The following is a 14016-nucleotide window of genomic DNA, read 5'->3' as shown; positions in this document are numbered from 1 at the left end:
TTGCCAATGTCAGTAACCTTCTTTATATAGCAACTTAACTGTTTAAAGCAAATAAATGACATAGCATGCTGGAAATAAGAAGCTTAAAAAGCAGATAGATGACAGGAGTTCTGGATGTATGTGCTTGTTATGCCAGACTAGTTATGTAAATTTGGGTCAGTTAGCCTCTCTGAGAATAATTTTTTTTCCCAGAACAAAAAGTTTTTAAATTATAAGGGATAGAGCAATAATAACAATTACAATGATAGCACCTTAAATTATTCAAGAGCTACTGTAAAAGTGTTTGAAGTTATTACCACGTATTTTTAAACCAATTAATTCTCACAATAGCCCTATTATGTAGAGGCTCTTATTTTCTCTATATTCAAAATAATAATCAATATCAGTGGATCTCAGTTTTTTGAGACATAAGAAATACTCGGTGATGGCGGGGTGCAGTGGCTCATGCCTGTAATTCCAGCACTTTGGGTGGACGAAGCAGGCAGATCACGATGTCAGGAGATCGAGACCATCCTGACTAACATGTTGAAACCCCGTCTCTACTAAAAATTTAAAAAAAAAAAAATTAGCCAGGCATGGTGGTGGGCCCCTGTAGTCCCAGCTACTCAGGAGGCTGAGGTGGGAGAATAGCGTGAACCCAGGAGGTGGGCTTGCAGTGAGCCAAGATAGTGCCACTGCACTCCAGTCTGGGTGACAGAGCGAGACTCTGTCTCAAAAAAAAAAAAAAAAAAAAAAAACTTGGTGATGGGGCCAGGTGTTGCTAAAAGCGCTGTTTCATGAACTAGCCCCACTTCTAAGAAATTTTATTTACCAGATCTGTGGTTATCTGCCTTGCCTTCTCCTCAGAACCACCTGGAAGGATTTTCAAATGTCTGAGGCATGGCCTCCACCCAGATAAATTCAAGCAGAATATCTGGGAGTTGTGTGGTTTCAGTTTATATATCTCCCCAAAGGATTCTCACATGCAGCCGAGGTGGAGAACCTTGCTTTAAATCTGCTCATCCAGACTCCAGATTGGTTCTGCTGTGCTATGGAAATCCCTGAGTGTGAGGAGCTATAGATGAAGGAGGAAAAGAGAGGATGAGTTAGGGAGGTAAAGGTAATGAAGACTGAGGAATGAATGGGGAGACCCATTCTCAAGACAGGAAATTAGGAAAAGGCTGTGTGATTTGCAGATGAAGGGAATTGAGGAGGTGAGGTTTTAGATCGTTTATGTGAGCAAGTTGGCCAGTATTGCAAATTGAAGACAGATTTGTTTTTCCACATACCATGAATTAAATTCAAGATATTGGAACCAAGGCTTAACTGTAGAGTTAAACAAAATCTTCGATAAAAACTAGAAATCCCATCACTTTTAGACAGAGGCAGTGGTGCCTGGAGCGGAAGGGAAGAAGGACGCTCAGAGTTCTGAGTAATAAAGCAACAGGAGGTAAGCTTGCATTTGGATCTTAATTAACATTTTTATTAAAAATCACGAAAAAAAGATTAAATAGACAGGAAAACAGAGAAAGAGAAACCTGCTGTTGATACTTAATCTTAAAGTGCTAAATACACAGATAAGTAGAACAAAAACAATGCAAATTTAACTAAAAAACTTAAAATGTCAAAAAAAAAGTCATGATTATTCATTCCACCAAATAACAAAGAATAAAAGGGTCCTGTTTCTGTAGAATGAATAACAGCAAAAATAAAGAAAAGTCAATCATTCCCTTGGGGGATAAAAAAGAATATTATCGATTTAGTCCACTTCTAAATTGTCATTTTTTCTTACCTTGAGCTACTTTGACTCTGAAAATGGAAAGAGCAGAAACACATGTGGGTTTGAAAGGAATATGTAGTCTACATATTTATGTAGATTATGTGTAATGTCCCAAGCAATCTTATAAGATAGGTACTATTAGATCCTTTTTATAGATGAGAAAACTGAAGCTCTTTTTATAGATGAGAGATGAAGCTCTAAAATGATACCTGTTCAAGATCATGTGGAATATGGGAAGATGGAATTCCAGTGTAGGTCAGTTCCAAAGCCTGAACTAGCTCCACTTTAGTCATCCAGTAAGTTTGGACCTCATGCTGGAAACTGCAGTTAGAATTTCAACCCTTCGCCCAACCAATATGTAGCAATAGACTTGCCACGTTTAACTACCACACTCACCACTTATTTGAGATTTAATTTTCTCAGGAAAGAAATAAGGCAGATAATAACTGGCTTCCATGATTGCAGAGGTAATTGTGTCAGGCCTCTGAGCCCAAGCTAAGCCATCATATCCCCTGTGACCTGCATGTACACATCCAGATGGCCTGTTCCTGCCTTAACTGATGACATTCCACCACAAAAGAAATGAAAATGGCCTGTTCCTGCCTTAACTGATGACATTATCTTGTGAAATTCTTTCTCCTGGCTCATCCTGGCTCAAAAGCTCCCCTGAGCACCTTGTGACCCCCACTCCTGCCTGCCAGAGAACCCCCCTTTTTCCTTTACCTACACAAATCCTATAAAACGGCCCCACACCTATCTCCCTTAGCTGACTCTCTTTTCAGGCTCAGCCCGCCTGCACCCAGGTAAAATAAACAGCCTTGTTGCTCACACAAAGCCTGTTTGGTGGTCTCTTCACACGGACGCACATGAAATTTGGTGCCGTGACTCGGATTGGGGGACCTCCCTTGGGAGATCAATCCCCCGTCTTTGCTCCCTGAGAAAGATCCACCTACAACCTCAGGTCCTCAGACCCACCAGCCCAAGGAACATCACACCAATTTTAATTCAGGTAAGCAGCCTCTTTTTACTCTCTTCTCCAACCTCCCTCACTATCCCTCAACCTCCTTCTCCTTTCAATCTTGGTGCCACACTTCAATCTCTCCCTTCTCTTAATTTCAATTCCTTTCATTTTCTGGTAGAGACAAAGGAGACACGTTTTATCAGTGGACCCAAAACTCCGGTGCCGGTCATGGACTAGGGAAGGCAGCCTTCCCTTGGTGTTTAATCCTTGCAGGGACACCTCTCTGATTATTCACCCAGGTTTCAGACCACGCAGGGATGCCTGCCTTGGTCCTTCACCCTTAGCGGCAAGTCCCGCTTTTCTGGGGGAGGGGCAGGGACCGCGACCTCTTATCTCTGCACCCGGATCCCTTATTTCCATGCTCCAACCTCTTATCTCTGTGCCCCAACCCCTTATTTCCATGCCCTTCTCTGCTTTTCTGGAGGGCAAGAACCCCCCACCCCTTCTCCGTGTCTCTACTCTCTTTTCTCTGGGCTTGCCTCCTTCACTATAGGCAACCTTCCACCTTCCGTTCCTCCTTCTTCTCCCTTAGCCTGTGTTCTTAAGAACTTAAAACCTCAACTCTCACCTGACCTAAAATCTATGCGTCTTATTTTCTTCTGCAATGCTGCTTGACCCCAATACGAACTCGACAGTAGTTCTAAATAGCCAGAAAATGGCACTTTCAATTTTTCCATCCTACAAGATCTAAATAATTCTTGTCATAAAATAGGCAAATGGTCTGAGGTGCCTGACATCCAGGCATTCTTTTACACATCAGTCCTTCCCTAGTCTCTGTTCCGAATGCAACTTTTCCGAAATCTTCCTTCTTTCCCTCCTGCCTGTCCACTCAGTTCCAACCCCAACCGTCACTGAGTCTTTCTAATCTTCCTTTTCTACAGACCCATCTGACCTCTCCCCTCCTCGCTAGGCTGAGCTAGGTCCCAATTATTCCTCAGCCTCCGCTCCTCCACCCTATAATCCTTTTATCACCTCCCCTCCTCACACCCAGTCCGGCTTACAGTTTCATTCCTCGACTAGCCCTCCCCCACCTGCCCAGCGATTTACTCTTAAAAAGGTGGCTGGAGCTAAAGGCATAGTCAAAGTTAATGCTCCTTTTTCTTCATCCCAGATCAGATAGCGTTTAGGCTCTTTTTCATCAAATATAAAAACCCAGCCCAGTTCATGGCTTGTTTGGCAGCAACCCTGAGATGCTTTACAGCCCTAGACCCTAAAAGGTCAAAAGGCCGTCTATTCTCAATATACATTTTATTACCCAATCCACTCCTGACATTAAATAAAACTCCAAAAATTAAATTCCAGCCCTCAAACCCCACAACAGGACTTAATTAACCTCACCTTCAAGGTGTACAATAATAGAGTACAGGCAGCCAAGTAGCAATGTATTTCTGAGTTGCAATTCCTTGCCTCCACTGTGAGACAAACCCCAGCCACATCTCCAGCACACAAGAACTCCAAATGCCCGAACCGCAGCTGCCAGGGGTTCCTCCAGAACCTCCTCCCCCAGGAGCTTGCTACATGTGCCGGAAATCTGGCCACTGGTCCAAGGAATGCCCACAGCCTGGGATTCCTCCTAAGCCACGTCCCGTCGGTGCGGGACCCCACTGAAAATCGGACTGTTCAACTCACCTGGCAGCCACTCTCAGAGCCCCTGGAACTCTGGCCCGAGGCTCTCTGACTGACTCCTTCCCAGATCTTCTCAGCTTAGTGGCTGAAGACTGACGCTGCCTGATTGCCTCAGAAGCCCCCTAGACCATCATGGACGCCGAGCTTCGGGTAACTCTCATAGTGGAGGGTAAGTCCATCCACTCCTTAATCAATACGGAGGCTACCCACTCCACATTACCTTCTTTTCAAGGGCCTGTTTCCCTTGCCTCCATAACTGTTGTAGGTATTGACGGCCAGGCTTCTAAACCTCTTAAAACTCCCCAACTCTGGTGCCAACTTAGTCAATACTCTTTTAAGCACTCCTTTTTAATTATCCCCACCTGCCCAGTTCCCTTATTAGGCTGAGACACTTTAACTAAATCATCTGCTTCCCTGACTATTCCTGGGCTACAGCCACACCTTATTGCTGCCTTTTCCCCCAGTTCAAAGCCTCCTTCACATCCTCCCCTTGTATCTCCCCACCTAAGACACCTCTACTCCCTCCTTAGCGACCGATCATGCACCCCTTACCATCTCATTAAAACCTAATCACCCTTACCCCTCTCAATGCCAATATCCCATCCCACAGCACGCTTTAAAAGGATTAAAGCCTGTTATCACTCGCCTGCTACAGCATGGCCTTTTAAGGCCTATAAACTCTCCTTACAATTCCCCCTTTTTACTTGTCCTAGAACCAGACAAGCCTTACAGGTTAGTTCAGGATCTGCGCCCTATCAACCAAATTGTTTTGCCTATCCACCCTGTGGTGCCAAATCCATATACTCTCCTATCCTCAATACCTCCCTCCATAACCCATTATTCTGTTCTGGATCTCAAACGTGCTTTCTTTACTATTCCTTTGCACCCTTCATCCCAGCCTCTCTGCTTTCACTTGGACTGACCCTGACACCCATCAGGCTCAGCAAATAACCTGGGCTGTACTGCACCAAGTCTTCACAGACAGCCCCCATTACTTCAGTCAAGCCCAAATTTCTTCCTCATCTGTTACCTATCTCAGCATAATTCTTCATAAAAACACATGTGCTCTCCCTGCCGATAGTGTCCGACTGATCTCTCAAACCCCAACCCCTTCTACAAAACAACAACTCCTTTCCTTCCTAGGCATGCTTGGATACTTTCGCCTTTGGATACCTGGTTTTGCCATCCTAACAAAACCATTATATAAACTCACAAAAGGAAACCTAGCTGACCCCATAGATCCTAAATCCTTTCCCCACTCCTCTTTCCATTCCTTGAAGACAGCTTTAGAGACTGCCCCCACCCCAGCTCTCCCTGACTCATCCCAACCCTTTTCATTACACACAGCTGAAGTGCAGGGCTGTGCAGTCGGAATTCTCACACAAGGACCAGGATCATGTCCTGTAGCCTTTTTGTCCAAACAACTTGACCTTACTGTTTTAGGCTGGCCATCATGCCTCCGTGCAGTGGCTGCTGCTGCCCTAATACTTTTAGAGGCCCTTAAAATCACAAACTATGCTCAACTCACTCTCTACAGCTCTCATAATTTCCAAAATCTATTTTCTTCCTCACACCTGACGCATATACTTTCTGCTCCCTGCTCCTTCAGCTGTACTTACTATTTGTTGAGTCTCCCACAATTACCATTGTTCCTGGCCTGGACTTCAATCCGGCCTCCCACATTATTCCAGGTACCACACCTGACCCTCATGACTGCATCTCTCTGATCAAACTGACATTCACCCCATGTCCCCATATTTCCTTTTTTCCTGTTCCTCACCCTGATCACACTTAGTTTATTGATGGAAGTTCCATCAGGCCTAATCACCACACACCATCAAAGGCAGGCTATGCTATAGTACAAGCCACTAGCCTGCCTCTTAAAACCTCTCATTTCCTTTCCATCATGGAAATCTATCCTCAAGGAAATAACTTCTCAGTGTTCCATCTGCTATTCTACTGCTTCTCAGGGATTATTCGGTCCCCCTCCCTTCCCTACACATCAAACTCGAGGATTTGCCCCCACCCAGGACTGGCAAATTAGCTTTACTCAACATGCCCCGAGTCAGATAACTAAAATACCTCTTAGTCTAAGTAGACACTTTCACTGGATAGGTAGAGGCCTTTCCTACAGGGTCTGAGGAGGCTACCGCAGTCATTTCTTCCCTTCTGTCAGACATAATTCCTCAGTTTAGCCTTTCCACATCTATACCGTCTGATAACAGACCAGCCTTTATTAGTCTAATCAGCCAAGCAGTTTTTCAGTCTCTTAGTATTCAGTGAAACCTTTATATCCCTTACGGTCCTCAGTCTGCAGGAAAGGTAGAACAGATTAATGGTCTTTTAAAAACACACCTCACCAAGCTCAGCCACCAACTTAAAAAGGACTGGACAATACTTTTACCACTTTCGCTTCTCAGAATTCAGGCCTGTCCTCAGAATGCTACAGGGTACAGCCCATATGAGCTCCTGTATAGACACTCCTTTTTATTAGGCCCCAGTCTTATTCCAGACACCAGACCAACTTGGACTGTGTCCCAAAAAACTTGTCATCCCTACTATCTTCTGTCTAGTGATACTCCTATTCACCGTTCTCAACTACTCATACATGCCCTGCTCTTGTTTACACTGCCAGTTTACAGTTTCTCCAAGCCATCACAGCTGATATCTCCTGGTGCTATCCCCAAACTGCCGCTCTTAACTCTTGAAGTAAATAAATAATCTTTGCTGGCAGGACTACGCTGAACCTCCTTAGGCACTCTCTAATAAGATGTCCTGGGTCCTCCCAATTCTTAGACATTTAATTCCTGTTTTTCTCCTTCTCTTATTCCGTTTAGTTTTTCAATTCATACAAAACCATATCCAGGCCATCACCAATAATTCTACACAACAAATGTTTCTTCTAACAACCCCACAATATCACCCCTTACCACAAAATCTTCCTTCAGCTTAATCTCTCCCACTCTAGGTTCCCATGCCGCCCCTAATCCCGCTGGAAGCAGCCCTGAGAAACATCGCCCATTATCTCTCCATACCATCCCCCAAAATTTTCTCTGTCCCAACACTTTACCACTATTTCATTTTATTTTTCTTATTAATATAAGAAGACAGGAATGTCAGGCCTCTGAGGCCGAGTTAAGCCATCATATCCCCTGTGACCTGCATGTACACATCCTGATGGCCTGTTCCTGCCTTAACTGATGACATTCCACCGCAAAAGAAATGAAAATGGCCGTTCCTGCCTTAACTGATGACATTATCTTGTGAAATTCCTTCTCCTGGCTCATCCTGGCTCAAAAGCTCCCCTACTGAGCACCTTATGACCCCCACTCCTGCCTGCCAGAGAACAACCCCGCTTTTTCCTTTACCTACCCAAATCCTATAAAACGGCCCCACCCCTGTCTCCCTTAGCTGACTCTTTTCAGACTCAGCCCGCCTGCACCCAGGTGAAATTAATAGCCTTGTTGCTCACACAAAGCCTGTTTGGTGGTCTCTTCACAGGGACGTGCATGAAAAATTGTATGGGGTCAGGTCCATTAAATCATCTTTGTTCATCATTCTGTTACTAAGTTTTCAAACATAAAGCAAAGCTGAAAGAACTGTACCAAAAACATCCATATATCCATAAATGGAAAAATCTATCATTTGCATGTTACTATACTTGCTTTATGACATGTCTGTCCATCTGTTCATCACTCCATTCATCAATCCACATTTTTTTAATGTACTTTCTAGTAACTTGCAGACATTGGCACACTTTCCCCTACATATCTGAAGTTGGTTTTAAATTCAAAATGAACTTTAAAACTGCAAGGATCATCATTATTAAAACTATACTTCTTCTTATAATAACTTCCTCTGTAACATTGAGCAGTCCCCTGTCATAACTGCCTGTTTCTGGTTGTGATAGTATTTGTCTACTCTGCTGTATTGCTGGGCTACACTTCCTAAGAGTTGAGGAAAGATAAAAGCTGAAGTTCATATGGCTCACTTTTTTTATTTGCCCAGGTGCTATTTCTCTTTGGAAGACATATCTGCTCTGTGGTCTCAGCACCACCTAATTCAGTCTAGTTCATCCTTACTCCAGTTACTTTTTGTGTATCTGATCATTTTCCAAAATATAGCAATGATAATGTGTGCTCCATGTAGGGAATTTACTAGAACATTCCTACAAAGGGCAGAGTAGGAAGGAAAAAGAACTAAGCATTTGCCATGTATAGTGTCAGTTGCTTTACATTTCATTCTACAATATGCAGGTAAATAATACATTTCTATATTCTTATATATAATCAAACATGTGCAATATATTTCACCTATAATCAAATTGGTTATAGATTTTTCATCGCTTCAAACACAATATGCTTTCTTGCCTTTTTAAAGTGGTTTTTAGTTTCTCCTCAATTGACAAGTGTCCACATGACCTCTCACCTCTTCCCTTTGCAACTACTTCACCCTCCTCTAGGACAACCAGTGTCTTATACATGTTCCACCAATACCTGCTCCAGACCAGTGACAGTGTAATTCTATATGGAGAATTACACGTACCTATGCCAGGCCAGTGACAAACAATACTTATTGATTGTTTGTTTATGTGTTGTAATACATATGTAACTATATACATTTATATATTGTATAAGTACACCATATACATGTATATACAGTATATATGTGTATATATAGTATAATACTATTTATATATTGTATACAAATATACAATATATAAAGTACTTTATATAGTACTTATTACTTATACAATATATAAATAGTATTGTACTATATAGAACAATTTATTTATATAAAAATAAATTTATATATAATTTTTTATAATTGTGTGAGTATATACAATATATTCATAGTATTATACTTATTGTATAAATACAATAGTATTTAGTATTGTACCATAGTATTATACTATTGTATAAGTACAATATACAATATATACATAGTATTTTACTTATTGTATAAGTACAATAGTATTATACAATGTTATACTATTGTATAAGTACAATATACAATATATACATAATATTGTACTTATTGTATAAGTACAATATACAATATATACATAATATTGTACTTATTGTATAAGTACAATATACAATATATACATAATATTGTACTTATTGTATAAGTACAATATACAATATATACATAATATTGTACTTATTGTATAAGTACAATAGTATACAATAATACCATTGTATTGTACTTATATATTATACTATATATAAATTTATATATTGTATAATATAATGTATATATTGTATTTGTATCATATGTATTTATAGATTTTATTTGTATCATAAAACATTAATATAGAATGTGTACATATGTCTATATTTCAATATGTATGAATATATATCTATATTTCATATGTATGAAGATACATGTATAACTATGATATATAGATAAATACATCTATTTACCTTTCATTCATATATAAATATAATTGTATTTCATCAGTGAATCCAGAGGTTAGTTTTATTTCAGTGAAACGTTTCAAAAAAAGAAAAAAGAGAGACTCGCCAAATCTTAAAGACATCTGACTAGAATAGACCAATGCCTCTAGGTTCATTGAGAAAATTGAAGCTACTTCCATCAGAGGGGTGAGGAAGCCAGTGGATCTTAAGGAGGCAATGTTGTGACGTGAGCTCTTACTGTAGTTACTGAGAAAAGGTAATCATTGCCACCGTCATCCACACACCACATAATCTTATCATCTGACTAAGGAAAAGAAAGTAAATATCACCTCCAAACAGGCATATTTTAGCCTCCGTGGAGGTGCTAAAGAATCAAGTGAACAGTCACGAATTCGAGAGAAGTGCTCTGATTCACACATTGACATCTGGCTTGGCTCCATGCAGTCTTCACAAAATGTGCAGCAAACTCCCCAGAAGCTTTCTGAGTGTTGGCAGTGGCACCGGGAAGGAAGCACGAAGCAAAATATTAACATTTCGCACAGCAAGCAGGTCACACCATGTGAGTTTCAGGAACAAAGTGCCTCTATTTCCCCAGAGCTTACTCAGATGACATGGCCTCCTGCTCAGCTCATTACCAATGCTCTGATGACCTCTCTCGGAAGAATGTATTGACGGTGTTGGCACTGAAAAGATGCTCAAAAGATCAAAACAATAAAATCATGTGAAAGCAGCCTCGGCAGACATGAAACACTTCTGTTCAGTGATGCCTGAACCGGGGGCGGCTCAAAGAGGTGTTTCCCACGGAGAGTTCTAAGTGAATGTCGCCTTTTGCTGTGAGTGCCACGGCATCGGAGACAGATAAGAAGTTGGCGAAACATATGCCAGATCTCAGGGATGGTTATATCTTCCAAAGGAAGATTGGAGCTGCGGAAAAACTCAGAGGCTTCCTCTCCGGGATCTTAGCACAGTCTCAGTGAGCGTCACATTTTTCTGCTATCCAAGTCATAGGTACCTTTTCTAATGAGAAAATTTACAAACGATATAAAATTACTTGGCCTCCTTTGAAATCACTGACCCCCATGACAAATTTGTTTTCTTTCCCTACGGTGGTTAACCAATCAGAAATTAAGCACCAGAAGGGGCACTTGTTGGACAAATGCAGACCCCTAGACTTTTTTTTTTTAATACCTGACGTATGTCTCTTGGTTTGCATGCAGTATCTCTCAATGCTATTCTAGACCCAGGCAAGTTAAATGTAATTGTTATATGTAACAAACCTGCACATTGTGCACATGTACCCTAAAACTTAAAGTATAATAATAATAAAATTAAAAATATATATATTCTGTTGTCCCCCTTTTATAGGCTATAAGGCTGAAGCTTAACAAGGTAAATCATCTTGTTTCAGTCACAACATATTAAGGGACTTCATGGCAGCTGTAGCATTAAAAACCGGAGCTGTCAAATGCTAAAGCTTGGACTTTTTTCTATGTTGCATGCATTTGGTTGCAAAAAAAGTATTAATCATGATTTTTTATGTTCTAAAAACATGAGTTACATAGGAGACATGTTTTACAGCAGTTTTCTCAAACTTTAACATGAGGAATCTTATTAAATGCAGACTCTGATTCACGAAGTCTGGGGTGGGGCCTGGAATTCTGCATTTCTAGCAAGTGCCCTAGTAACACTAGATATTGCTGATGTGGCGACCAGATTGGAGCAAGAAAGTTTGGAGCATGTAATCTCAACAAATAAGACTCTAAGCCCTTGTAGATACAGTGCTTGAGAGTATTTGCACTAAATAACAAAAGTGGCGAGTTCTGCTGAGTATCAGTATGCTTTTTTTTTTTTTTTTTTTTTTGGTCATCACTAATGACCGTGTCTAAATTCATTTTCACAGAAGGCACATTAATTCCACTTTATTCAACCCATCAACAGAAATTCAGTGGCTATCTATGAAAATGTTCATACCTAACATTTGTCAGGTGCTTTACACTTTAAGTGTCTTTTTATGGGTGATCTTACTCAATTTTCACCAAAAGGAAAGGAAACTAAGTAAGCATTGTCAGTGATTTGATTTTAATGTGATAATTTTAAGATTTGGAGAAATTAAGTAACATATAGCTGACATGTGACACAGATTGTATTAGAATATACATTTTTCTTACTCCCAATATTATACCAAAGCATGATTTATGAGACATTGAGGGAAGGTGTATTCATTTGCTGGGGCTGTCACAAAGTACCGCACACCTGGTGGCTTTGATAAAATGTATTGTCTCACAATTCTGAAGGCTAGACATCCAAGATGGAGATGTTGGTAGGGTTGGCTTCTTCTGAGGCTGTGAAGGAGAAATTGTTCCATCCCTCTCTCTTAGCGGCTGCTTGCTGGTGGTTTCCTGGCAATCTTTGTTTTTTGGCTTGCAGACGCATCGCCCCAATCTCTGCCTTCATGTTCACATGGCACCCGTGGGTGTCAGATATGGTTTGGCTGTGTCCTCACCCAAATCTCATCTCGAATTCTAGCTTCCATAATTCCCACATGTTGTGGGAAGGACCCAGTGGGAGATAATTGAATCATGGGGGTGGTTCCCCCACACTCTTCCCATGGTAGTAAGTCTCACAAGATCTTACAATTTTATAAGTGGTTTCCCCTTTCGCTTGGCTCTCAAGTAAGATGTCCCTTTGCTCTTCTTTCCTCTTCTGCCATGATTATGAGGCCTCCCCAGCCATGTGGAACTGTGAGTCAATTAAACTGCTTTCCTTTATAAATTATCCCGCCTCAGGCATGTCTTTATTAGCAGCATGAGAACAGACTAATACAGTGTCTGTGTCCACGTTTTCCTTTTTTATATAAGAACTCCAGTCATGTTGGATTGGGCTCGCCCTACTGCAGCACAACCTCATCTTAACTCATTACATCTGCAACAAACTTATTTCCAAACAAAATAAGATCATATAAGGTGCTGAGGGCTAGGACTCCAAATAAGAATTTTGGGGGTAATACAATTCATACCATAATTTATAACACAATTCATAACATAATAGGTGTTGCCTGGCCCCTGTCTAGGAATTGCTTATGATCTACTTGAGCCAACAATGGGGCATCAAGGCAAATCATGACCCATAAAGGGCAGTAAGGACACTTTCCCAGTGAGTCTTGAAGAGTCCTGAGAAGGAGAGAGCTAGTATTCCCCTGAGAAGTGCAGGGCAGCTTTGATGAACAAGTTGGCAAGCCAAGTTACCCTTGGAGTAGGAGTAAAATTTAGAAGGAGTACTGAAGAGCATCCAAGCTGACAAGAAAAGCGTTTTGCCAAAGAGAAGAAGAAAAGCGACCCTCAACCCTGTTATAGACATTTTTTTTCAAACCCCAAAACAGGAAATTAAGATTAGAATCAAATAACACTGATTTTATATTTATTTCTGGAGACAAAAATAAAACAACTTTGAAATCTAGCCTCGGTTTGTAAAATTAAAATACTAACTCCAATACCGTAGGGTTGTCTTTCACCCTTTTTTTACAAAACAACACAGAAGCAATAGATGTCCAAGCGTGTATCTAACTTCTAAATATATGTCTGGGGTATGCTGATAAAAATTAAAAAAAAAAAAAAACTAGATGTGAAGCAAGAATGAAGAGTTACTATTATTGCATTCTAGAATCTAGGCGACTTGATTTTTATACTTGGAAGTTATAGCTAGTTTTTTGTTAGATTAAAATAAACCCACTTTTTGTTTACAGGCTTGTGGATTTCAGAGGTCAAGTCATCATATTAATTGACAGAAGATTTTGAGGCTCTGGCAAGGGATTGTATTTGAATTCCTCTAGACAGTCTCAGAATTTGCAGTTGTGTGTGTGAAAATAACTCTCAGTGAGGAGAATGACATCTTTGGGGAGTTGTCTCTGAAAGGATGTAGTCACCAAAATTCACAAAGAAAGAACTATTCACACCCTGACCAGGGACTGTCTCACAAGATAAATAGCCATGTCCTGATTCAGGCAGAAATGCATTTTGACAAGGTCAAAGACTCTCTCCTTATTCCTGAGGCCCCTGTTCCCTGGGACCCCTGAGGTTCCTTGTCTGAGTGGAAGAGCTTAGGGACTGGTGGAGAGAGAGAACTCATTAATTCTGTCAGTAGCAAGTCTTCCCCTCTTAGCTTTTATAGACTGTCTTAAGTAAAAGATGAGC

General features: G+C 40.8%; 1 long non-coding RNA gene across 1 annotated transcript in view, besides 1 other annotated feature; it reads right to left on the bottom strand.

The window, feature by feature from the left end:
* The window catches only part of LOC107986178 (uncharacterized), a 245894-nt gene that overhangs the window by 128379 nt on the left and 103499 nt on the right, over nt 1–14016 (bottom strand). The gene's annotated exons all lie outside the window — the stretch shown is intronic.
* Nucleotides 10106–11305: an enhancer, noted in NCBI's record as "P300/CBP strongly-dependent group 1 enhancer chr4:11651807-11653006 (GRCh37/hg19 assembly coordinates)". NCBI's record gives its function as "activates an origin of replication core promoter dependent on BRD2, BRD4, P300/CBP, MED14 and CDK7 cofactors, with strong dependence on P300/CBP, by STARR-seq in HCT116 cells {active_cell/tissue: HCT116}" and the evidence as "EXISTENCE:reporter gene assay evidence [ECO:0000049][PMID:35650434]".

The sequence above is a fragment of the Homo sapiens genome, chromosome 4 (assembly GCF_000001405.40).
Source record: "Homo sapiens chromosome 4, GRCh38.p14 Primary Assembly".
NCBI lineage: Eukaryota > Metazoa > Chordata > Mammalia > Primates > Hominidae > Homo > Homo sapiens.
The sequence above is the reverse complement of the archived record's forward strand: the minus strand, read 5'-3'. Positions and strand labels throughout refer to the sequence as shown.